Source organism: Homo sapiens, chromosome 3 (assembly GCF_000001405.40).
Source record: "Homo sapiens chromosome 3, GRCh38.p14 Primary Assembly".
Lineage (NCBI taxonomy): Eukaryota > Metazoa > Chordata > Mammalia > Primates > Hominidae > Homo > Homo sapiens.
The window spans coordinates 158,262,065-158,287,946 of NC_000003.12; the positions used below are offsets into that span (position 1 = coordinate 158,262,065).

The following is a 25,882-nucleotide window of genomic DNA, read 5'->3' on the forward strand; positions in this document are numbered from 1 at the left end:
TTGCTTTAACAAATATATGCCATAGCTTTTCTTTCATTTATTAGTAGTTTTTGAGTTTTTTTATTTTGAGGAAGTCTAGTTTATTTCTTTGTTCTTTTATAGGTCATGTGTTTCGTGTTGATCTAAGATTTCTTTGCCTAATTTAAGGTCCAAAGATTTTCTTCTGTTTACTTCTACCAGTTTTATCATTTTAAGTTTGACATTTAGGTCTATGGTTTATTTGAGGTAGTTTTGAGTATGGTATAAGATATGGTTAATGTTCATTTTTTGTTTTTTGCATATTTAAAATTTAGTATTTTATGCATCATTTGTTGACAAGAGTATATTGAATTGCCTTTGTATCTTCGTAAAAAAAATCAGTTGTTCACAAATGTGTGGGTTCATTTCTAGACATTTTGTTGTTTTACACTGAAGTACTTGGAATCATGTGGTCTTAGCTCTCCAACTTAATTCTCTTCAAAGTTGTTTTGACTGTCTTAAGTTCTTTGTTATTACTACACAAATTTTATAATCATCTTGTCAGTTCTATAAAATATCCTGCTTTGATTTTTATTAGGATTGAATTGAGTCTGTAGATCAGTTTGGGGAGAATTGACATGTTAATAATATTGACTCTTTTAGCGCAGTAACAAGGTATATGTCTTTATTTATTGAGGTCTTTAAAATTTTTTTCACCAATATTTTGTAGCATATACTTTAGAAGGTCTCTGACATTAAAAAAATTTCCTGAAGTATTTCTTTTTGAAATTATTTATATATATTTAATATCAATTTCAGATTACTTATTGCTGATATACATAAATGCTGTTGAATTTTGTGTGTTCACCTTGTATCCTGCAGTCTCATTAAATTCACTTATACTTTTAGTAGCTTTTTTGTAAATTGAGGTTTTTACATATATGCTCATGTTGCCTGTAATAAAGACAGTTTTAATTCTTTCCAGTCTTGATGCCTTTTGTTTTTTCCTTGCCTGATTGCTCAGGCTAAGATCTCCAGCACAGCATTGAATAGAAGCAGTAAGCATGCCTATCTATGTCTTACTTATGATCTTAGGTAATATTCAGTCTTTTTCCATTATTTTGATGTTATCAAGATAATTTTAGTAGATTCCTTTTGACAGGTTGGGGAAGTGCCCTTTTAGTCCTAGTGTGCTGAGAATTTTTTAAGAAATGGTTGTTTTATTTTGTCAAATGCTTTCTCTGTGACTACTGAAACGATTATACTGCTTTTCTTTTTAAATTATTAATATGGGGAACTACATTGATTGAGTTTTGAATGTGAAACAACATTACATTTCTAGTATAAAACTCTACTTGGTCATGATATATTATTCTCTTTATATATTGTTGCATTTGCTTTGCTAATATTATGTTTAGAATTTTTGCTTCTGTTTTTATTTAGAACGTTGTTTTGCAGTCTTATTTTCTTATAATTCCTTTGTCTGTGTTTGGTGACAGGGTAATGCTGGCCCAAAGAATGAGTTGGGAAATATTTCCTTTTCAGTTTTTTGGAAGAGTGTGTAGAGAATTTGTATTATTTGATTATTAAATGTTTGGTAAAACTTAGGCATGAAGCCATTTGGGCCTGGATTTTTCTTTGTGGAAAGGTTTTTAGCTACAAATCCACTTTCTTCAGTAGATTAGTTGCTACTCAGTTTCTTATCAAATTGCTTACAAAAGTTCTTCTTGAGTGAGTTTTGATAGTTTGTGTCTTTCCAGGAGTTGGTTCATGTTACCTAAGGTGTTGAATTTATAAACATAAAGCTGTTTAGGATGTTCTCTTTTTATCCTTTTAGCGTCTGTAGAGTCTACACCGATGTCACTTCGTTTATTTCTTATATTAGTAATTTGTTGTTACTGCTTTTTTCTCATTAGTTTGGCTAGAAATTTGTCAGTTTTATTGATGTGCTTAAAGAACCAGCTTTTGTTTTCATCGATTTTTCTCTGTAATGTTTCTGCATTCTATTTCATTTCTTTCCACTTTGAACTGTTTTATTTTTCTTTTTACTGCTTACTTTGGGTTTAATTCTCCTCTTCTTCTAGTTTCTTAAGGTATAAGCTGAAACCTTGATTTCCAGCCTTTCAGCTTTTCTCATGTAGGCGTTTAGTATTATACATGTATTTCTTTAGCAGCATCCCACAAATTCTGATATTATGTTTTTGTTTCATTGAATTTAAATAATGTCTAATTTTCCTTTGATTTGTTCTTTCTCCATGGGTTATTTAGAAGCATGGCATATAGTTTCCAAATTTTGGAAGAGTTTCTAGATATCTTTTTGTAACCTATTTCTAATTTGATTTCATTGTGCCAAAAAGCATACTTTGTATAACTCGAATCCTTTTAAATGTATTTAGACTTCTTTTATGGCTCAGAATAGCTCTATTTTGATGAATGGTTTGAATAAGTTTTGTATTCTGCTGTTCTTATGTGGACTGTTCTCTAAGTGTCAATTGGGTCACGCAGGTTGATGGTGAAGTTCACATCTACTATGTCCTTTCTGATTATCCACTTGTTCTATCAAATATTGAGAGAATATTGGAAATCTCCAACCATTATACTGGATTTGTCTGGATAGTTTTTCAATCCTATGAACATTCTTAAGCTTTGTTCTGAGATGCAGCTAAGTTCCTTGGAAACAGTTTTGTGCCCTTAAGTCTTGCTTTTATGATTTGTTTGGTGGGTGTCGAGTAGTGCTCAGTGTAGTGCTAACCATTCCCCACAACTGAGGAATGAACGTCCTGGGTATTTTAACCTATGCCTTATGAGTTATGAGTTTTTCCTGTCTGGCTTGTTGGAATGGGCACTATTTCTCACTTTGTATGACCACCAGGCAGTAATCTCCAATTCTTTGAAATTGTGTTTTCTTTTGCCTTTACAGGCATGTGCTAATTAGTACTTTGCTGACTATTTGAAGATTGCCCTGATCTGTCTCTGTGCTGCTCTCTGGTCTGCCATACACACTCTGTCTTGTGAACTCTTAACTGCCTTGGTCTGCCTGGACTGCCAGCTCTGACTCTGCAAATCCAGGAGTTTGCCAAGCTCTACTTGAGTTCTCCTCTGTTGCACTGGGACCTGTAATTACAGGCCTTCATACTTTGTTTCTTAACTCTCAGTAGTTACTATTTTTTGTTGCCTAATTTCCAGGGTTTTGCACAACATTAAAAAATACATTTTGGAATTTTTTTCTTGTTGTTGCTGGTTTTGGTTGTTCCAGGCAGAAGTATAAATGTGTTCTGTTTACTTATCTTGAACCAAATCTTTTGCCCATTTAAAATTTTACTCCAGGCTGGGTACAGTGGCTCATGCCTGTAATCCCAGCACTTTTGGAGGCCGAGGTGGGTGGATCACCTGAGGTCAGGAGTTTGAGACCAGCCTGGCCAAGATGGTGAACCTCTGTCTCTACTAAAAATACAAAAATTAGCCGGGCGTGGTAACGGACACCTGTAATCCCAGCTACTCAGGAAGCTGAGACAGGAGAATTGCTTGAAACCGGGAGGCAGAGGTTACAGTGAGCTGAGATCATGCCATTGCTCTCTAGCCTGGGTGACAACAGTGAAACTCAGTCTCAAAAAAAAAAAATTTTACTCCAATCTTAAATATGCTTTTTGAGGAACAAAAGCTATGACTTTTTTTCCGCCACTTGTAAGCTAACAATTTAAAAAGCTATTACTTTTGATAAATTGCAATTTATCAGCTTTTTTCATTCTTAATGTTTGCTAAAACCTGTCTACCTCAAGGTCACGAAGATTTTCTTCTAGTAGTTTCATAGGATTAGTTTCTATATTTATGTCTGTGATCATTTTGACTTATGATGTGAGGTAGGGATGATTTTTTTTGTCATATACAGATGCCATTTATTTCAGTGCCACCTTTAAAACACTTTGCCATGTTGATTGAATTCCCACTGAAGCCTTGATAATTTAGCAAAAATAAATTTCCTATATATATGGGTCCTTTTCTGGTCTTTGCATTCTGTTTTATTTATCTATATATCTCTTATTTCATCCATACCAACAGTATAGTACAGTATGATTATTATGCTATGAAGCAGTTGATTTTTAAAGGTGGTTTATCAAAATTAATAGTGTTTGTTCTTGGAAAAACACAGAATCTTATTGTTTCTCTGTAGTCCATTTGTTTTCTTTTTCATCATTTTTTCTCTTTAATTTTTTCCCTTACTCTCTACTCATTTTAGGTTTACTTTGATCTTTTTGTAGCTACTTAAGGAGGAAACTTGATTATTAATGTAGATCTCTTTTTCTAGTAAAGACATTTAAGGCTATAAATTTTCTGTAAGCACTACTTTTAATTGTTATATATTTTGAGCTTATGTAGATGTTTTATTGTTGATGAATTATAATTTCATTCTGTTGTATTCAGAAAGTATGCTTTGTAAGACAGTCTTTTGAAATATATTTATTTATTTTAGTGTTCTACACTTGGTTTACTTGAAAAGAGTGAGCTTCTTGGCGGTTGTTGGGTGTAGTTTATACTTTTTATCATTACATTTTAATTTTTTTATTGGTTTTAAAGCTGTATCACCTTGTTTTATTTTTAGTTGTTCCTCTACAAATTACACCTTAAACTTAACTTGTTAAAATGCATCTTTAGTTTATTCCATTCTACTTTAACTTATCCCATTATATTTATCCTAAGCAAAAGTGTCTTCATTTCACCTTCTTTTTTTTCCCCCTCTTTTTGATACAGGGTTTCACTCCTGTTGCCCAGGCTGGAGTGCAATGGTATGATCTCGGCTCCTCCAAGATCATATGATCTGCAGCCTCCGCCTCCTGGGCTCAAATGATTCTCCTGCCTCAGCGTCCTGAGTATCTGAGACTACAGGAACACACCATTGTACCCAGCTAATTTTTGTATTTTTTGTAGAGACACTGTTTCGCTGTGTTGCGCAGGCTGGTCTCAAACCCCTGAGCTCAAGTGATCCATCTGCCTTGGCCTCCCAAAGTACTGGGATTACAGACATGAGACAGCATGCCTGGCCTATTTCACCTTCAGTTTTGAATGATAGATTTTACTGTCATTCAAATATGGATGTATTATTGATTGACAATTTTTTTCTTTCCTCATCACTTTGTATTGGTTGTTCCAATGCCTTCTGGCTTTCATAGTTTCTGAGGAAAAGTTAGCTGTAATCTTATAATTGTTCCAGTATATACTGCATCTTTGTTCTCTGGCCTCTTTCCAGGTTTTCTTTTTATCTTTGGCTTTCAGAAGTTTGACTATCATGCGTGAGAGTGATTTTTGTTCATGTTTAGCCAAACTGAAAAGCTCACTTTTCAGTGAGCTTTTTGTCTGTGTAAATAAATGTTTTCCCCCAAATTTGAGAACTTTTATGCTATTATTTCTTCAGATATTCTGTTTGTTCATTTGTTCTTTTTCTCTTGGTGGACCTTACACATATGTTGGACCACTTGCTATTGTCCTACAGATCTCTTGAGGTCCTCTTCATTTAAAAAAATTTTTTTTTCTTGTACTCCAAATTGAGTAACTTATGGTGGTCTTTCTTTAAGTTCACTGATTTTATTTTTCTGTTTTCTTTCTTGAGCCCATTTCATGAATTTTTTTAAATTTTGCTTTTACCTTTAGAATTTTCTTTTTGAAAAAATATAGTTTCCATATCTCTGATGAGATTTCCCATCCATTCATTGACACTATTTTTCCTTCAATATTTAAACAATTTATAATAGCTGCCAATAAATATTTATGTGATAAAACTAATATCTGGTTCACTAATAGTTTTGATTTACTCTTTTCTTATGCTGTTTGTTTCCATATCTATTTTTTTTTTTTTTTTTTGGCTTAAAAAACATTATAGCCACTCTGGATTCAGCTGTATTCTCCTGGGGATTATTGTTTTGTTTTATTTTTGTACTTTTCTCACCTGAAACTATAAAGATCCTCTTCCTTCCTATAGGTACTGTCTAATATTTCTGTACTGTTAGGACTTCCCATTGTTACATTTTTAGACTGGCTCTGTGGCATAGTCTTTTCTGTTTCTATGTAATTTTATTGTCAGCTAAGAATTTAAGTAGAGATAGAGCTCACTCTGTCTGTTTTGCTTCTGTGGTTGATTGCTTCATTTTCAGCTGCTCTGCCAGCTTTACAATGTGTCCTCAGATACTTCAAGTTCATTCTTCTTCACCTTTCTACCACCAGAGATGCACATATTTGGTTAATACACTTAATTTAAAAACGCATCAAAGGTATATTTCTCTCTAATCTCTGGCTACTTTTTGCTGGATTCCCTGAAAATTTCCCCTGAGTATGTGTAATTTAGCTGTTAGTCAAGGGTTTTGACTTAATTTATATTCAGATTTGGATCATACTGTTGCTGTGGTTCTCTTCCTGCCTGCATTTCCGTTTTACATTTTTTCTGTTCTTTTAGCCCTGAACTCTGATTCTGGAACCTTGAACCCAAAGGCTGGGGTCTTCTACTATTGTGTTTCTGCAGCCATAGCCATAGGAGTGTCCCAACACCAGAAAATAATAAAACAATAAATATAACAGTAACTCTTCACTTCTAAGTGAGATTTTTGTGATTAGACTATTTGTGGCGGCTTTTTGGATTCTGTTTGGTGTCCATAAATACATTTTTTACCATGTTACTTAGTTATTATAATTGTTTTCTGTCAGCAGTTTTGTTCTGCCACTCCTTCACTATTAGTCTTAATTTTAATTTTAAGTTACATTAAAACAAAACCTTTAAAGATACTGTGACTTGAGATAATTTTTATACTAAAGTTTAAATTTATATCTCTATTGCAGATCATTTATAAATGCATAGAATTCTTGAACACTTTTGTTAATCATAGTAGACTTTCTCTGTTATCTTAAACATTGAAAATATATTATTTGAGGTATTTACCTTTCATTGAAAATACATAATTATATGAGACTGTCATCTCCCCATAACCAGATTGAAAAAGGTTATAACCTTAAAGTTTTGCTACTTAAGTAGGCAGCAAATAAAGGATATTGTTTTGATTTTTATTTCTTAAATATCATTAAGGTTGAGAATCTTTTTATAGAATAATAGATCATTTATTTTTTTTCTTGCTGAATTGCCAGTTAATTTCCAGTTTTAATTATTCTGTTGTTCACCTTTTTAAATACTACTTTGGTTTTTAGGACCTCTTCATGAATATGGGCATTCGTTTCAGATATGTTTAAAATATCCAAGTATGTGCCTAAATGATATTTACAAAATTATTTCATTCGTTTACTTCATTTAAATTTTTGTGGTAAGCCTAATGTTAGTTTATGGTGTATGATATATGAGAATCTTCTTGAAGTTTTATCATATTCTCAAATTTTGAAGGCATTTTAAATATTTCATTCCTACATGCTAATTAAGTTTATCTCCCTTCTACCTTACTCATTTGACGATGAAGTTTATTTTCCCCACTACCATGCTTTTAGTATTTTCAGAAAACAGATTTTTTTTTTTTGGAGTCAGAGTCTTGCTCTATCACCAGGCTGAAGTGCAGTGGCACAATCTCGGCTTACTGCAACCTCTGCCTCCCGGGTTGAAGTGACTCTCCTGCCTCAGCCTCCCGAGTAGCTGGGACTACAGGCATGTGCCACCATGCCCAGCTAATTTTTGTATTTTTAGTAGAGACAGGGTTTCACCATGTTGGCCAGGATGGTCTTGATCTCTTGACCTCGTGATCTGCCTGCCTTGGCCTCCCAAAGTGCTGGGATTATAGGTGCCTGGCCCAGAAAACAGATTTCTTATTTTACCTGTTCTTAAGGAGTTATTCCCTTATTTTTTTTCTTTTGATATCTTGAAGATATCAGAACAAGAACAACAAGAAAACATTTCTTGGCTTCTAATGTAATTTATGAAGAACTTCTTTTAACTGAAGAAATTGAAAGCAAATATTTACTATGTTAGTAGATATCCCTGTAAGTTAGAAGCTGTATTTCTGTAGACAGAAGATTTTGTTTCCTGGTATCAGTGTGAGTAATGGATAGGAGCAACTGCATACATGATTCAAGACACCAGGTTGCTTGTTGGAACCCGCTTGTGACTCTCGGTAAAGCTTTTGTCCAAGGCTTGTGCTATTCCTCAAACACTCTTCATTGCTGTTCCAATGGTTGACGTGTAGGAGATCCATCATACTCCCTGCTGCCTTTGCTGCTGTGTTTGCTTAAAGCTAACCCCAGGGATCTAATAAGGGAAGGAGGCTGCAGCAGGGCAGCTTGAAGTTGAAAGATCAAACATTTCTACCTCCCGAGTTAACCATGATCTTGGAACCCGACAAAAGGATAGGGTACCCCAATGATAGGGTGACTTTAGTGTCCTCACCCTGTATGGGGACTGATTCACAATACTAAGCTCTAATGGAATTGCGCTGTGCCAGTAGCTTTGTGTTTGTAGGGTTCTTTAGGAATTTGTAATGTCACAGATTGGTTTTACATATTGTAGTCATGTATTTCAATTGTAATTTATTGAGCATACCATAATATGCTCACTGTTTACTTGCTGTGTTAACATGTTTGGTACTAAGGGTTTAAAATTTGGAATAATAAGGTTTCCTTAACATTATTGTCATTTTATAATATCATGCAAGCTTTTTAGAAATTTAATAGATTTAAGCATGGCATTTATGTTTTAAGTTTCCTGGTTTTCTGCTATAGCTTAAATTTTATAAGGACTTTAAAATATACAGATTCATTATAATTTATTTGCAATGACAAAGTTTAGACTACTAATCTAAAATTTAAATATTAGTGATCAAGTCTATCTGATAATGTAAAACTTTCTGAACTATTTTCCTATACATTTTTTCCTCCATCTTTTTACAATTTATTTTAAGAATAGGGATAATTTTTACCTTTTAGAGGATAAATGATTAGTCATACTGGAACTTGAAAGAATTGGGTGAACTTAGGCTGCTCCAGAAAGACTTCTCCCTTTTATAAAAGGATTATCCCCGTGTCATATTGAATTCATGAAATCATCTGAATTTTAAAATTTAAGTATGTAGCCTTTGTAGTCATAAACATGAATGTTCTAACTTCTTAAAGCTTTTGGATACAAAATACACTAATTTTTTTGAAGTAATGATTTTAGAAGGACTTTAAGTCCTTCATAGACATTTGTACTATGAGTTTTACAAATCCACATTTTCCTCTAATAAGGGATTATAAAAGGATTAAAAGTCTTGGCTGGAGATTATGATTTACATAGGCAATATATAGCAATATTGTTTCCTGAATTGAGGGAGTAGGTGGGGAAAGATTAATTGTTGTTATTGTTAAATAGACTTGAATAATAAGTTGTGATTCATACACAGATGGTTCTTATAAATTTACACTGATGTTGGATGGATTTGATGGATACAGGCCTGCATGAGCAGTCAGAGTAGAGATTTTAATATTCTTTTACTCTCATAGACTATAGTTTAAAGATGGCCTAATTGTCTATTACTAGTAGATGCATGTAAGTCTTTGCACCATATATTTTTTTGTATGAAGCAAAAATATATTTGCTTTTTTAAATATATAGTTTCAATATTTTTGCAAAAATAATTATATAGCTATCTTACCTACATTTGTTTGTAAAATTAAGTTACATCATGAAATAGTAAAAACTTTTATAATGCTTTTTGATAAATGCATTATAAAGATAACATCTAGCTAAAATTCATTTTCATTGAACTAGGAATAATTTGGAAAGGTATTTTAACCTTTTTAGGTGTACAAGTCATTATGAACACAACAAGAATTAAATATGAAATTTTAAGCACCTGCATTTCACCCAGAATATAGGTGAGTAATCTAAGAAAGTGACATGAGTTACCATGAGATAAGGAGGAGATTGGTTAATATTAGTCTTTTGAGTATAATAGCATTGTATTTGCATATAATCATTTTAATAATTTTTGTTTAATGTGCATTGATAATTTAAAACATGAAACTGCTTTTGCACTTTTCTCATATGCCAATTTGTTGTTTTTTTTTCCAAAGGATTAAGGGCCTAAAGGAATAGAGGAAGTGAATGGACACTGATGTTTCAAAATATCTCATTTTGCCTAAAAGCAAGTACCGGCAGATAAATGCCCATAAAGGGATTTCTTTCTTAAGCCCCGTGGATTTTTTCCCTGCACAACTTTTTGTGTGAGTTAGAAATGAAAACCATTCATCTAGTGCCCCAAAGAACGGCCTTATTGAATGGAATAACAGTGTAATGTACCATTGAAGGCAGGATTGAAAGTGATTATCTTGTTAACTCTTGACAGTTACCGCCAGCTTGAAATGGAACCGGCAGGCTTGATTTGCAAATGAATTAGAGCTTTTTCATTTTGTGCCAGGATCATCTTTTTATATTCTGATATGACAGATGCTATGTTCCAGGCTTTTGTTTTTCTTCCGATTTATACTTGCAAATAAAAAACAAAAGATTATTATAGTCATTTTATTTGCATCTTTTCTTTTGGAGTTTATTCTTTGTGTAGAAGTTTTTAATCTTATGTTTTTCAAAAAAATTTTTAATACTAGTATTGTTTTTTCCAGAATTAAATTTGATTAATTTAAGTACAGTAGTAACTGGGGGAAAAGGAAGATTATATGGGCTTTCAAGAAATAGAAAATAGTTGCAAAACAGAATATTATAGTTAGTAAAAACTGAAACTTTTGGCTAAATTTAATAGCTTTTATTTCCCTTGATAACTATTGATGTAAATTCAAACTCTGGAGATGTTTGAAGAACAGTACAAGAAACTCCCATATACCCTTTACATAGATTTATCAGTTATTTACATTTTCTACCCATTTATTTTATTATCCTTTCCTCCCTCTCCTCATCCAACTGTTATAAATGTGTTTTTTCTGAACTAAAGGAGAATATATTGGAAACATTGTTCCCCTTTACTAAAAAATGGTATATATAAGAATAAAAGCATTGTCTTATATAACTATGAGTACTAGCTTTTGAGAGGTTAAAAAAAAGAACCTGTTTTTGTGTTTTTATCTTCTGATATTAGTGGAAATTAATTTGCAGGTTTTAATCCCCTCTGTCATTATGCTTCTATTTATATTCAGGAATCATCTCAATGACGTATAGCAATTTCAATGCATTGTTAATGTATAACTTATAAACCTGGAACTTCGTTTTATTAGTTCAGATAGTTTTTATTATTGGAGGGTTAATATAGTTAAAACTTGCATATTCCATTTAGTATTAAATGTTCAAGGTAGTAAACATACCTGGCCCTAGTCTAAGTCATACACATTTTCCATTCATAAAGGTCTTTACACATACATATACACACACAGATTCATCTTCTTGTGGAAATAAGCTAAATATCTTTTATTTGTTATTTATGGATTCAAAATGTAAGGTCCTGTAAGTCTATTTTCTTTTTTCTTGTAAACAGTCATATTTTCTTCTGTTGTATAAATCTTAATAAAATATGGAACTCACGGATAAATTATCCCCCATTCTATCGCAATGGCTTTTCAGTATGAATGTTAGCACTGAGGCCTATTTCCTGTAATACGAAGTCTAGCCATTCAGAACATGTATTATATTGATATGATATATTGAGAACCTTTATGAAAATGTCAGTGTGTTTATAAGGTCTGATTAATTGGATTGGTAAGCATCCCCATACTGAATAAGTATTACCCTAAGTCTACTTTCTTTGAGTTAAAACATGATAATAATCTTGGAGGGAAAATATGTAGAACCAGTTGAGAAGTAAGCAGGGACATTTCTTAATATTCAATCTTTGGATTCCATTCATTCTCTCTCCCTCTGTCTTTCTCTCACTCTTACTCTCTCAGGCTCTCTTTCTCATCGTAGTTGCTTGAGTCATGTTTGCTAACTGTATCTTTGTGAAATGTATAGTTGTTTTTACAGTGTAACACTACACAGATTTAAGTGTTAAAAATTTTATCATAAACATGGTAATGACCCTATAAAATAACTTAAAACTGAAACATTCAGAGTGCTTCCTCAGTGTTGCCCATTTGGAAACCGAAGCCATTTGGCATTGTTTATGTATTTTAAGAATTCTGTTTATGTATTCTTTAATAGATAAAGAGTATCCATATAATGAATGAGATTTAAACAGTGTTTTTAATGTTTAGAAATATGAATTTTAGGGGTATGCTGAAGTGCTGAGAACATGTTTGGGATTTCATATAACCTGTTCTATAAAAATTCAATGCCTGTAAAACTGATTATTCAACATTATGTTAAATTATCTTTAATTAATGAAGAAAAAGCCATTTTTCTCCAGTGTACTGGAATGTTTCTTTCTGATTTTGCCAAGGTTAGTCTTTTTTTTTTTCTTTTTAGTTTAATAGACATTTATTCCTTTAGTTGAACAACCTCTACACAATCAAAATGTATGACTTAGGATCTTTTCTTTTTTTTAAGAAGAAATTTAGGTCTCAAGAACTTTTATGAACTTGCTATGAGTACTTTCTGGAAATCAATTAACTAAGCCTTTTGAAACCCCTAGAGAAGATAGGAGAAAATCGGTTCAGAGAAGCAAGCATTTAAATTAAGTCAGCAAAGTCAGAATTGAGAATTGGACAATTCCTTGTCTACATTTCCTTTACACTCAAACTCAACCTGGAAAACAGTAGCCTAGTCTCCTGGAAGCCGTGATGGAAACAGAAATGCAATGTGGTGGTATACTTTCACTGAAAGTGGACACACAAGTGATGGCCCAACTTTGTGGAATGGTAAGGATTTTTAGGGTAGTTTGGCCAGGAACAAGAGAAATAACTGCAGAAAACACATATGGTTGGAAACCATGCACTTGTATGACTTTTTCTGTAGCCTATGGGAATACACACAGTGGGTAACCCAAGATGTTTTTAAAACTGAATAGACTAAGAATGATGTACTTACAGTCAACTACTCCCCACCCCCCAGCAATGTGACTGAAGGGTTTCATAATGATCACAAATTAGTGTTATTGTTACATATTTTAAGATTGACTTCTAAGCTCACACTTGAAAGGTATTTATCTAATGGCCACTGGCTCACCAGCTTCCCACCCTAGCATATTGATTGCTAGCTTACCAACCTTAAGGCTAATAATTTTATCTAACATTCAATTTCAAAACATACCAGTGTTAATACCACTACCATTAACCATTGAATGCCATGAAGCCATGGCACTGAACCAGGAGCTTTCACCTTTTATGTGAACTTAAAATGGTACTGTGGAGACAGAGGCAGTTTTCCTCAGGCTAACCCAGATTTGTCCCCATAATTTTCTAAATATAATCATGACATAGTTAAGATGTCCTCCTCCCACCCTACAATTTTTAAAGCGAAGCCCAATTTAAAAAGTCTGTACCTGCCAAAATGAAAAACCCAGCTACTTGAAAGTAAACCAGCAGAGCATTGCCATCATCCCAGTAAAGCTGCAGGTTTCATCACATGCACCAGACAAATCTACAGAGCTAGTTTCAGTACTCCTCTTTTAAAGAATTTATTTTAAACCTATTATACTACACAGTATGTCTTATATACTGACATATAATTCCCTAATAAGATAAAGCAAAGACAAAAAAGTTTATCCTATTAGAAACAAGACACACCATCACTTATTGTCTTCAAACATTATTGCACTTTAACTTTCTTAATTTGATATTCATGAAATAATCTGCAGACTAGTTTTAACAGACAAATAACACCTGTAAGCAGACATGACTGCCCTAAATAGTTTATTAGGTATGAATTTTACAAACTTTACCTATATTAGTGATAACAGTGGAGCTGGAGAGTATTGCGCCTTCTCCAAGCTGCCTGGCTAGAACCACTAATTGTGTGGTGGAACTTATGGCCCTTTCAAAGGCCACGGCTCTTTTGGCCTGCAGATGTGAGCCCACACATTTCCCTGTGCTTGTGGACTGGTTCGGTGATCCATGGGTGTCAGGATTTCTTCTGATAGTATTATGGAATGGATTAATGAGGATAGCCTCAAAAAATTTCTATGTGGGATCTTCACCAACCCAGTAAGAATTCAGGACTCTTAGAGCCCCACAGTGGCGTCCAGCTCACTCCTCTGCAACGGACTGAAGCTGTGAGCAAACTTTAGCTGGTTAACACCATGATGGACAGGCTTGCCATATGTTGCACCCTTAGGAACTGGGCATTTTCGGCCACCATGGCGAATACGAATCCTATATATAATGTAACCTTTCTTGGCCTTGCAGCCCAGTCTGCACAATTTATCAGGCCAGATGGGGTGGGGAGCCCTGTGGAGAGCAGAGAGCTGGCGGTACTGCCAGCAGCAGACCCTCAGAAGAAAGCGCATGATGACATCAGGCTGCTTTCTCCATAGCTCCTGGATGTGCTTGTATGCACCCATCTTGGCTTACTTGATGGCTGCCGCCAGACAGAAAGGCGCCAAGGTTAGCCTTTAGATAGAATAATTAACATTTGTCTTTTTTTCATGTTACCCCTCTTTTCTCAAACTCTCAGTTTGTAAAGAGTTGAATTGATGTTGTGGAAGACAAAATTTGTCTCCTTCAGTATTTGTCTTATTGGTCCTATACTTTATTTATTTTTTTAAATAATCATTTTCTTTAGTTTTTCGACCAGTATTTTTATTACCTAAAATTAATACAATATTACCTTTTTTGATAGCAGACTAAAAGCAGATGGAAGAAGTTGATGATGTTCTCAACTTTTAGATTTAGCTCTCCTTGTATTTTGTTGCATGTTATTTCTTAACTTATATCTGTCATTTGGATTTTGAAATGCTATCAATATTTATCTTAGTGATTGTCATGCAAATATCAAAATGAGAAGAATACAACACATCTCTTTTTGCCTCTGGCTTCCTATCCCCCCATTTCCTAAAGTCAAAATAACCTCATATGGATATATAGTTTGAACACAATTAGAATTTAAATGATTTAGACCAGAGATCAGTAAACTTTTTCAGCAAAGGGCTAAACAGTATATATATATTTAGGTTTTGTGGGCTAAGAGGCAAAATTGAAGGTATCCTGTAAACATAAATCTATAACAAGAGAGAAAATATATGTCCACAGTTTTTGGACAAAATTCAAAGTATAATAATAATTATTGAGCACAACTTTGTGTAATTAAAATGCATGAATTTAAAAAATGGAATTCCTTTTGGGGAGCTAGCACTTTACTTGATTAGGGTTCTAAATTAATGTTCATTGTTATCAGAATTGATTACAAACATTTATCTTTTAATGCTGATCTGTAATGAGATTTTAAACATTTCACCTTTGAAAATGTCTTCACACAGATAGGTATTGCCAAATTTGATTGCAATCTATGATCATATTCATTGCTTGAAAGGCATTTATAAAATTCTGTTAGATTCTTTTCTTGATTTTTGTCTTTTAGTTATTATACTGCAGATTAATCACTTCCAATTGAAGTAGAAGCTCCTCAATTGTGCAGTTAAGTGGACTTGTGAATATGGAAATTTTCTTTACACTTGCATTAAAGGCAGAAAAATACTGCTGGAAGTGTAATTTGAGGTCAAAAAACATACTCCTTGAAATGTGTGTTGGAATGAATATCTTCTTTAACTTTGACAGCATGGGAAGTATATAAAGCAGTTTGACATTACTTTGTGATTCAAGCAACATCAGTTGTTACTGAAATGGCTTTACTGTTGGATGAATTTTGCATATAAGCACCATTTTGCCTTGTAATTTTAGGTTGAGCTCATTAAAATTTATTTTTATTTATTTATTTTTTGTTTTAGAGACAGCATCTCACTCTGTGGCCAGGCTTATATACTGTGGCAGGATCATGGCTCACTGCAGCCTTTGGAACTCTTGGACTGAAGCAATCCTCTCACTCAGCCCCCACCTAGTAGTTGGGATTATAGGCATGAGCCCCTGTGCCCACCTAAGGAGCATTTTTATGTCTACTGCTGAAGCTAAAAGTGGTTTAGGATAAAAGTGGTTGAGGGGGTTCTTCTCAGTCAGAAAAATTTCAGTATTGATCCCTAATGTGAAACATCACAACTAGACTTTACCACTGTTAAGCCATCAAACTGCTGCCATGTGTTGGAATAATCAGGATATTCAGCATCTGTATCTGTCAAAAAAATCATACAACCAACAACGGACAAGTCCACAAGAGCAAGTGAGGTTCACTGTTGACACTTCTGATTAAATACCACATTTTACATTCAGATGTTTTTACAAAGTTTTTGCTGATGAATAATGCAGGGAATAACTGTAGGCTTTAAATTTTCGTAGACTTACATTTTCACAAGCTTTGTAGATTTGTCCAACTAAGCCTCTTTCCGCTCTCTGTTGTTAACTACCATGATATATAACACATCTTAGCAGATTCCACATCAGGTTGTACTGAATGAGTGTTTTCTCAATTTTGTTGAAAATATTCTCATGTTCTATGCATAATTTTCATGGAGGCTAATTCTTAAGTCATTCCACACTCAGCACTGACTCCTCAAATAAACAACTGAGCAGTATCTCTGACATCTGTGGACTCATGAAAAACCAAGCAAAACCGCTTGGACTCATTTGCCTTATCTCTTCACTGGACATGTTGATGATATTCCCTGTGTCTTCAACAGTTTGAACAACTGTTCTTGCTAAAAGTCTAATAGTTTTTAAGCAAGTTTATTTTCTCTGGACACATTTCTTTGACTGCATTCAAACACTAATTAAGTCATCTTTGGTAAATGGCTTTCATTGATTGGTTGACAAATACAACACTCAGAAACTCATTTTTATTTTTTTATTTTTGTGAAGAAATTCTGCTGTGATGAGATACTCCATTTTAAATGTTCTATTTTTTTGGACTATTGCTTTCCTGTGAGTTGGAAATACTATAAAGAGTGTTCAGTCAAGTATATATTATTTTTAAAAATCAACATATATGCTATTTTTCCAGCACAGCTGTAATGCCATTGTATAATAAGCACAATGAATTGCCATTTAATTTGATAAAATAGTCCACACTTCACTGCGCCTTAAAAATGACAGTTGAAGGCTCCTTTTCTATTCTTTTCTCATTTTGATATGATTCTTATACACTGGTATTAAAAATTAAATGTCACATTACAGCAATTCATAAGGCCCTTGAAACTGCGTTTAGTTATGCTATGTTACTGTGATTTTTTGTGTGCCTTGAGCAGCAATGCAACCTAATGAGAGTGCCATCCGTGATTTCTGTTGCAACGCCTCAGCTATTGTTAATCGCATTAAAGCAGCCATAGAAATACACAAAAGAATGAGTGTGGCTGTTTCCCAACAAACCTTTATATAGTGACACTAAAATATCAATTTCAGTAATTTTCATGTGTCAGGAAATGTTATTCTTTTGATTTTTTCCCAGACATTTAAGAATGTAAAAACTGTTTTAACTCATGTTCTGTACAAAAACAGGAAATAGGCTGGATTTGGCCTATGGGCCGTAGTTTACTGATCCCTGATTTGTACTTTCGGCTCAATAGAATAAGCTAGCGCACTTTTAAATTCTCCATTGGCCTTTAAATATTACTAATAAAAATTAGGTGAAAACTACCATAAATTGAATATAGGTTATTTTTTATTTTATGCAAGCAGATATAAAACCATTTATTGTGAGAAAGTAATTCCTAGAAGAATCTTCATTTGTACTGTCACTTTATGTGAACTAGAATAAAACAAAAGTCTTTCTTATATGCAGTGGTATTTCAAGCCTCTAGGACTTCCCCCATGCCACTTCCTCTTTCCTAGATGTAAGTTGTGCTTATTGAGCTTAGATTCTATTAGGAAGGATTGCAAGTAAATAAATAAATGTAGATTATGTGGAACTATTGGGTAGCTTATGTAATCAGTGGGACTCTGGGAAACCAGGTTGTGAAAACTGACAGGAAAAGAAGACTGGTCAGCTGGTGTTACTGCCTGTGTATACCATGGTATCAGTAGAGGTAGTATGCAGGCACTGACCACCAGCGCCTCTGACATTGCTGCCACTGGACTTAAGCTCTGTTGCCACTATCACAGAGAATAATCTTTTTATTCTTGTCTTTCATTAACTCTTTATTCAAATTTCCTAGTATAATTCATGTCATCCTATATTTGGAATACTTTGGATTCAAAGCTCACCGAATTTGGAATGGTATTCAGATTCTGGGTAGCTTAAGAAGTATAACAAATACACCCAAGAAGAAGGCTGTAGCGAGCGAGCATGACAGTGGAATAAAATGAGAGAAGAATTCCTTGAGCAATTCTTGTTTTCCTTTGATTCTGTCTTATAGGTCCCTGTATTAACTTCTGAAATATTTTTCATATCACATATTTACTAATTAATTAAACTATTAGTAACTAATGATTAGGTACTAATTATATATTTGTGCGTTGGTTTTTATACCTGTCTTTAAGCTCCACATGACCTGGTATATGTTGTTCATAATTGTATCCATAATTCCTATCACAGAATCTGGCCCAGAGATAGTACTCAGTAATAGTTGTTGAATGAATAAATAATGTTTATGTGTGTGTGTGGTGGGGGGCAAATCATGATGGCTATGGTGAAAAGGAATTGAAGGGTTTTGAGCTCAAGAATGAAGTGATTCCTTTTTTTTTTTTTTTTTTTTTTTTTTTGAGACGGAGTCTTGCTCTTTTTCCCAGGCTGGAGTGCAGTGGCGTGATCTCGGCTCACTGCAACCTCTGCCTCCTGGATTCAAACAATTCTCCTGCCTCAGCCTCCTGAGTAGCTGGGACTACAGGTGCATGCCACCACGCCCTGCCAATTTTTTGTATTTTAGTAGAGACGGGGTTTCACCCTTTTGCCCAGTCTGGTTGCGAACTCCTGAGCTCAGGCAATCCACCCACCTTAGCCTCCCAAAGTGCTGGGATTACAGGCATGAGCCACCGCGCCTGGCCCAAAGTGATTCATTTTTATAAGATTAGACTGGCTGTTTTGCAACAGGTGGATGAGAGTGAAACAACGGCAGAAGTGGTTAAAATAGCTATGACAGAATTAAGAAAGACTAGGATGGAGGTCATGGCAATTGAATTAGGATGGTGGCAGTTGATATAAATATAGATAGTTTTTGTGATTACTTAAGAGGTAGAATCAATAGGACTAACTGATAGATTGTATTTGTAGGGGGAAAAAGAAGAAAGTGAAGTGGTTGATTCCCAGGTTTTTGGCTTGAGCAGAAGGATGAATGATAAGATCCTTTTCTGAAATAGGAAATACTGAAAAGGATCAGTTTTGAAGGAGGAACTCAAGAATTTAGTTTTGGATCTATTGAGCATAAGCTTTTTTTTTTTTTTAGATATCCAAATAGAGATGTCAAATAGACAACAGGGTAAATGAATCTGGAGCTTATGAATGATATACATTTTTTGCACATGTACGTATAGGTTGCTATTAATGCTGTGTGTGAGGGTGAGATGGATTAAGAAGAAATTATAGCACAAGACTAGGGCCCAGGACTGATCCTTGGGGAGCTCTTACCTTTGGTGGCTAGAGAGAAGAGCATGGAACTACAAGAGACTTGAAGAGCCATTTTTTTGAGAAAATGTAGAAAACCTGAACGATATAATATTATAGAAGACAAGTGAGGAAAGGCTATGAAGTATTGAACATTAATTCAGCATGGGCTTATCAACATGAATATGAATGTTAGACAGTATCAAATGGTTCTAAGAATTGTATAAAGAGAAAGATGATAAAGTAGACTTTGGATTTGGTAACATGGGGGAACCACTGATGACTTTAGCCAAGAGTAATTTTTGGATGTAGTGGGAGGTAGGAGAGGGGAGATAGGGTATGTGTATAGTTCTCTCTTTCAAAAAGTCGAACTGAAAGGAAGCCTATGAGTAACATGGTAGCTGAGGAAACTGGTTCCAGGCCAAAATTCTATGTGTGACCAATCAGACATACCCATTGGCAATTACAGAGTTTTGCCTGGCAGGCCTCATGGAAGAAAGCTGCCCTCCTCATACTGGTACACATACTTGGTACACAGCCAGTGCTTTGCAGTTTTCTGGAGGGAGATGCAGCCATATCCACCTCCCCACCCCCAGCCCTGTCTGTGCTTATCAAAGAGCTTCATGTGGTAACAAAGCAGGTTTACCTAAGCAAATAATTAAGTTGGGAAATGGATATATACATAGAAGCCACATAAAATAATTACTGACAATCAAGTGCCAGACTATTGGGAGTTTTCTATAAGGGCAATGCATTTGACCTTGGTATCCACAGATTTAATATTCTGTCTATTCAAAGTGATGTGGCCTGTTTTATGTGACAATTTGTAACTTTTGTGTGGCATGACTTAAAGCCTATGTTCTGAGAGGATGCTGTGAAGGAGTCATGTAACTTAGCCAATGAATAAAGCCTACTAACTGCTCAGCACTGTATCTCACAGTGGCTTTGTTTTTTCTGATGTTAATGTATTGAACAATCCTCATCAAAGGTCTGTGTAGTAATGGTGATGTTGACAATAATTAGTAATATTTGCTAAATGCAGTATGCTGAGCACTTTACATGCATTATTGCATTTTCAACTTGGGACATTTGCAAAGATCTTAGCGCTTACCCATTAAATGTCAGGAAGGACTGTAAGTTTAGAGATTAAGAAATTGTTATGAACATAGTCATGGTGGGAGTTTAATTGGTTCTTGTACAATAAATATAAGAATTTGCAGATTTTGAGAAGAAGAGAATCTTGTTTTAGGTAGATGAATGGATGAGCAAAATTATGGAGGTGATAATGAACTGGTTTGAGAAGAGTTACATATTGGCAGAAAATTGTTAGCCAGGTAAGGTAGATTATAAAGCAGGCAATGACAAGAACTTGGGATATGAAGACATTGATGTTAGGGAGAAGGTATTGGAGGACTTTTGGTGGTTAGTGATAGGAGCCAAAACTAACATAGACAAAGTGGGGATACATTATTGAAGAGTTCACCATTTCTGTTTGCCTCGTGCATTGCAAACATAACTGTGTTCATTATCTCTATTTCACATTCTCCATCTCTAAATTGAATTCATCTGTAGCTTGGATAATCACATACCAAAATTAGGAAGATTCTATTTGTATTAAATTACGTAGATGGTATAAGGGTGAAAAAAAATGTAGACAAGGTTTTTAAAGTGAACACTAGAGGTAAAATCATGTACATAAATAATTTATGATTATAGACAACAGGAAAAATGTGAGCTGAATGTAGACCCAGAATAATATACTACTCAATAAAGCTGCTGTGAGGATTTTTTTAAAAATACTTTTTAAATTGGACTAATAATTTTTTTTCATGGAAGACACTTTAGAAAACATATAAACAATTAGAATGAACAAAAAAAGTACTCATAATCCCACTGTCAAATACTGTTTACTTTTCAGTTTATAACTTTTTAGATAAATGCACATGTACCACACTGTACACATGGATGTATAAAACTTACCCTCTTACATTTTGTAACATGATTTAAAAAAAAAACTTACTATAGCACAAGACCATTTCGTGAAAATACATAACTATGTCACAATTTTTAATGGTGATATCGTTTTCTGTTGTATGGTTATTATATTTTATTTGACAGTTTGCCATTATTGGGCATTTAGTTCTCAGTTTTTTGTATTAAATACAATGGAGTGATTAATATTTTGTGAATGTGTCATTGGGATAAACTTAGAGAAGTAGACTGTGAGGCAAGGCTTTACGTGTATTGTTGAGAATGTTGATACATTCTCCCAATTGCCCTCCAGAAAACCTGTGTTATTTTCTGCTTCCACTGGCAGTGCATGAGGATACCTGATTCTCAGCACCTTTGCCAACAATGGAAACGTTATCATTTGTTTTCTTTTTTTTTTTTTACTATTATTATTATACTCTAAGTTCTAGGGTACATGTGCACAATGTGCAGGTTAGTTACATATGTATACATGTGCCATGCTGGTGTGCTGCACCCATTAACTCCTCATTTAGCATTAGGTATATCTCCTAATGCTATCCCTCCCCCCTTCCCCCCACCCCACAACAGTCCCCAGAGTGTGATGTTCCCCTTCCTGTGTTCATGTGTTCTCATTGTTCAATTCCCACCTATGAGTGAGAATATGTGGTGTTTGGTTTTTTATTCTTGCGATAGTTTACTGAGAATGATGATTTCCAATTTCATCCATGTCCCTACAAAGGACATGAACTCATCATTTTTTATGGCTGCATAGTATTCCATGGTGTATATGTGCCACATTTTCTTAATCCAGTCTATCATTGTTGGACAGTTGGACTGGTTCCAAGTCTTTGCTATTGTGAATAGTGCCACAATAAACATATGTGTGCATGTGTCTTTATAGCGGCATGATTTATAGTCCTTTGGGTATATACCCAGTAATGGGATGGCTGGGTCAAATGGTATTTCTAGTTCTAGATCCCTGAGGAATCGCCACACTGACTTCCACCATGGTTGAACTAGTTTACAGTCCCACCAACAGTGTAAAAGTGTTCCTATTTCTCCACATCCTCTCCAGCACCTGTTGTTTCCTGACTTTTTAATGATTGCCATTCTAACTGGTGTGAGATGGTATCTCATTGTGGTTTTGATTTGCATTTCTCTGATGGCCAGTGATGGTGAGCATTTTTTCATGTGGTTTTTGGCTGCATAAATGCCTTCTTTTGAGAAGTGTCTGTTCACGTCCTTTGCCCACTTTTTGATGGGGTTGTTTGTTTTTTTCTTGTGAATTTGTTTGAGTTCATTGTAGATTCTGGATATTAGCCCTTTGTCAGATGAGTAGGTTGCGAAAATTTTCTCCCATTTTGTAGGTTGCCTCTTCACTCTGATGGTAGTTTCTTTTGCTGTGCAGAAGCTCTTTAGTTTAATTAAATCCCATTTGTCAATTTTGGCTTTTGTTGCCATTGCTTTTGGTGTTTTAGACATGAAGTCCTTACTCATGCCTATGTCCTGAATGGTATTGCCTAGGTTTTCTTCTAGGGTTTTTATGGTTTTAGGTCTGACGTTTAAGTCTTTAATCCATCTTGAATTAATTTTCGTATAAGGTGTAAGGAAGGGATCCAGTTTCAGCTTTCTACATATGGCTAGCCAGTTTTCCCAGCACCATTTATTAAATAGGGAATCCTTTCCCCATTGCTTGTTTTTGTCAGGTTTGTCAAAGATCAGATAGTTGTAGTTATTCGGCGTTATTTCTGAGGGCTCTGTTCTGTTCCATTGATCTATATCTCTGTTTTGGTAGCAGTACCATGCTGTTTTGGTTACTGTAGCCTTGTCGTATAGTTTGAAGTCAGGTAGCGTGATGCCTCCAGCTTTGTTCTTTTGGCCTAGGATTGACTTGGCAATGCGGGCTCTTTTTTGGTTCCATATGAACTTTAAAGTAGTTTTTGCCAATTCTGTGAAGAAAGTCATTGGTAGCTTGATAGGGATGGCATTGAATCTATAAATTTCCTTGGGCTATGGCCATTTTCACGATATTGATTCTTCCTACCCATGAGCATGGAATGTTCTTCCATTTCTTTGTATCCTCTTTTATTTCATTGAGCAGTGGTTTGTAGTTCTCTTTGAAGAGGTCCTTCACATCCCTTGTAAGTTGGATTCCTAGGTATTTTATTCTCTTTGAAGCAATTGTGAATGGGAGTTCACTCATGATTTGGCTCTCTGTTTGTCTGTTATTGGTGTATAAGAATGCTTGTGATTTTTGTACATTGATTTTGTATCCTGAGACTTTGCTGAAGTTGCTTATCAGCTTAAGGATATTTTGGGCTGAGACAGTGGGGTTTTCTAGATATACAATCATGTCATCTGCAAACAGGGACAATTTGACTTCCTCTTTTCCTAATTGAATACTCTTTATTTCCCTCTCCTGCCTAATTGCCCTGGCCAGAACTTCCAACACTATGTTGAATAGGAGTGGTGTTTTCACCTTTGCTTGTTTGCTGGGTGAAAAATGGCATTTCCTTTTATTTTATAGATCTTTACTGTGCACTATAAAATTTTCCTAACTGTTTAAATGTGTTAGCTATTTGTACAGTATTTGTTTTGTGAATATTGTAAGAATTGAATGAGAATGCAAGTATAAATGACCAGGTTCAGCTAGTGTTTATTTTTACTTAAATCCTCATCGCTTTGCTGCCTCCTCCCTAATCATGTTTCCAATTAAGGAGTAAAGGAATGTTGTAAAATCTTGTTTTATTCTTGAGGTTATTGTTTTTTAGAGTTGAAAGTAATAAATTCTCCCTTGACTAAAGTTTGGGAATTTAATTCAAGTTTCTAGCTGAGCGGTATAGTGTGATCTACTGAATCTCTCTGATCCTCATTTATCTCATCTATAAAATAGGTATAATAATTACATGTCTTTATGATAAAATCATAAGTGTTAAATGAGCAGATTATGTAAAGCACTTGTTACCGTGCCTGGCAAACTCTGTTCAGTATTTCCTCACAGGTGGAATCTCTGAGAAGGTCAGTTCACTTAGACAAATACTATGAAAATTTAAGTGCTGGGAAGTGCAAAGAGGTCTTTAGGAAATGGCAAATCTTTTGACTTGAGCAAGAATCTTGAATTCTAGGCTGAGGAATTTGATTCATTAAACAAGGAAAGACTTCATTATTATTTCCTAGCACTATTAGATGCTTACCTGATTAAAATTACACCTTAGTTTTCAGTTTCCTGTTGAGTTAAATAGGAGAACAGAAGTTAAACAGAACAACAACGGAAGGAAGAGAAAATAATAAAAAGACTTTAATAATTGAAAACTTGGATAATCAATTTCTGAGTTATTCAAACTTTGCTGTTTTCAGGAAAGATATACACATGTTGCACTTTTCGCTCTGTCACCCAGGCTGGAGTGCAGTGGCACGATCTCAGCTCACTGCAACCTCTGCCTCCTGGGTTCAAGTGATTCTCCTGCCTCAGCCTTCCGAGTATCTGGGACTACAGCTGCGTGCCACCACACCCGGCCAATTTTTTGTATTTTTAGTAGAGACAGGGTTTCACTGTGTTAGCCAGGATGGTCTCCATCTCCTGACCTCGTGATCCACCTGTCTCAGCCTCCCAAAGTGCTGGGATTACAGGCGTGAGTCACTGCGCCTAGCCTTTTCCCTCAGTTTTAACAGCTAAAGACTTAATAGGATATATTTATGACCTTCTATTTGGGATTGTTGACTGTGTTACATATGGGAATATATTGCTTTTATGAAATTATTGGGACATAATTTTATAGTAGAATTTTTGGAAGTAGAAATTGTATTTTAAAATTACATTTAGATTATTTATAATTGTAATGTGAATTTAATTGACATTTAAATATTTGTATTTATATAGAAGTAATAGAATGCATGAATTTATTTATGATTAAATAGTGGAGATGAAATATACTAGGTTTATTTCTGCTTATAAAAATTATTTAACCTCAGTTCTCCAAGTGAAATAAACATTACATAAAATCATCAATGATTTTTAAATCTAATGATTATTCTTTTCTTATACCCCAGTTTTATTTATAAGGATAAATCAGAAAGAACCTAAATGTCCAAAAATAAGGGATAAGTTAGCTTATTGTTCATCTGTATGCAGGATAGTATGCAAACATTAAAATATTATATGCAAGTATATTATTGACAACCGGAAGCTATTTACAATATATAGTAGTGAAAAAATTTAAGCTATATAACAAGTCAACCATGGTCCCATTTTTATAAGAAAAATAATTGTATTTGTGTGTATTCATAAGAATTTCTGGAGGAAAAAACAAGGACATATTGAAGCTATTATCTTTGGCTAGTGGAATTTCAGGTGACTTTTATTTTTTCTTCATTAGAACCAGATGTGATTTTGAATTTTTCTACAATAAGCATTTATTATTTGAAGGGTCACTTGTAGCCCATATGGCAACTTTGTGCATATTATGCAAGATG

General features: G+C 34.4%; 1 protein-coding gene and 1 pseudogene across 6 annotated transcripts in view; one reads left to right on the forward strand and one right to left on the reverse strand.

The window, feature by feature from the left end:
- RSRC1 (arginine and serine rich coiled-coil 1) overlaps positions 1–25,882 on the forward strand; it is a 435,642-nt gene that overhangs the window by 151,976 nt on the left and 257,784 nt on the right. The gene's annotated exons all lie outside the window — the stretch shown is intronic.
- On the reverse strand, positions 13,448–14,393 carry RPL15P6 (ribosomal protein L15 pseudogene 6; annotated as a pseudogene).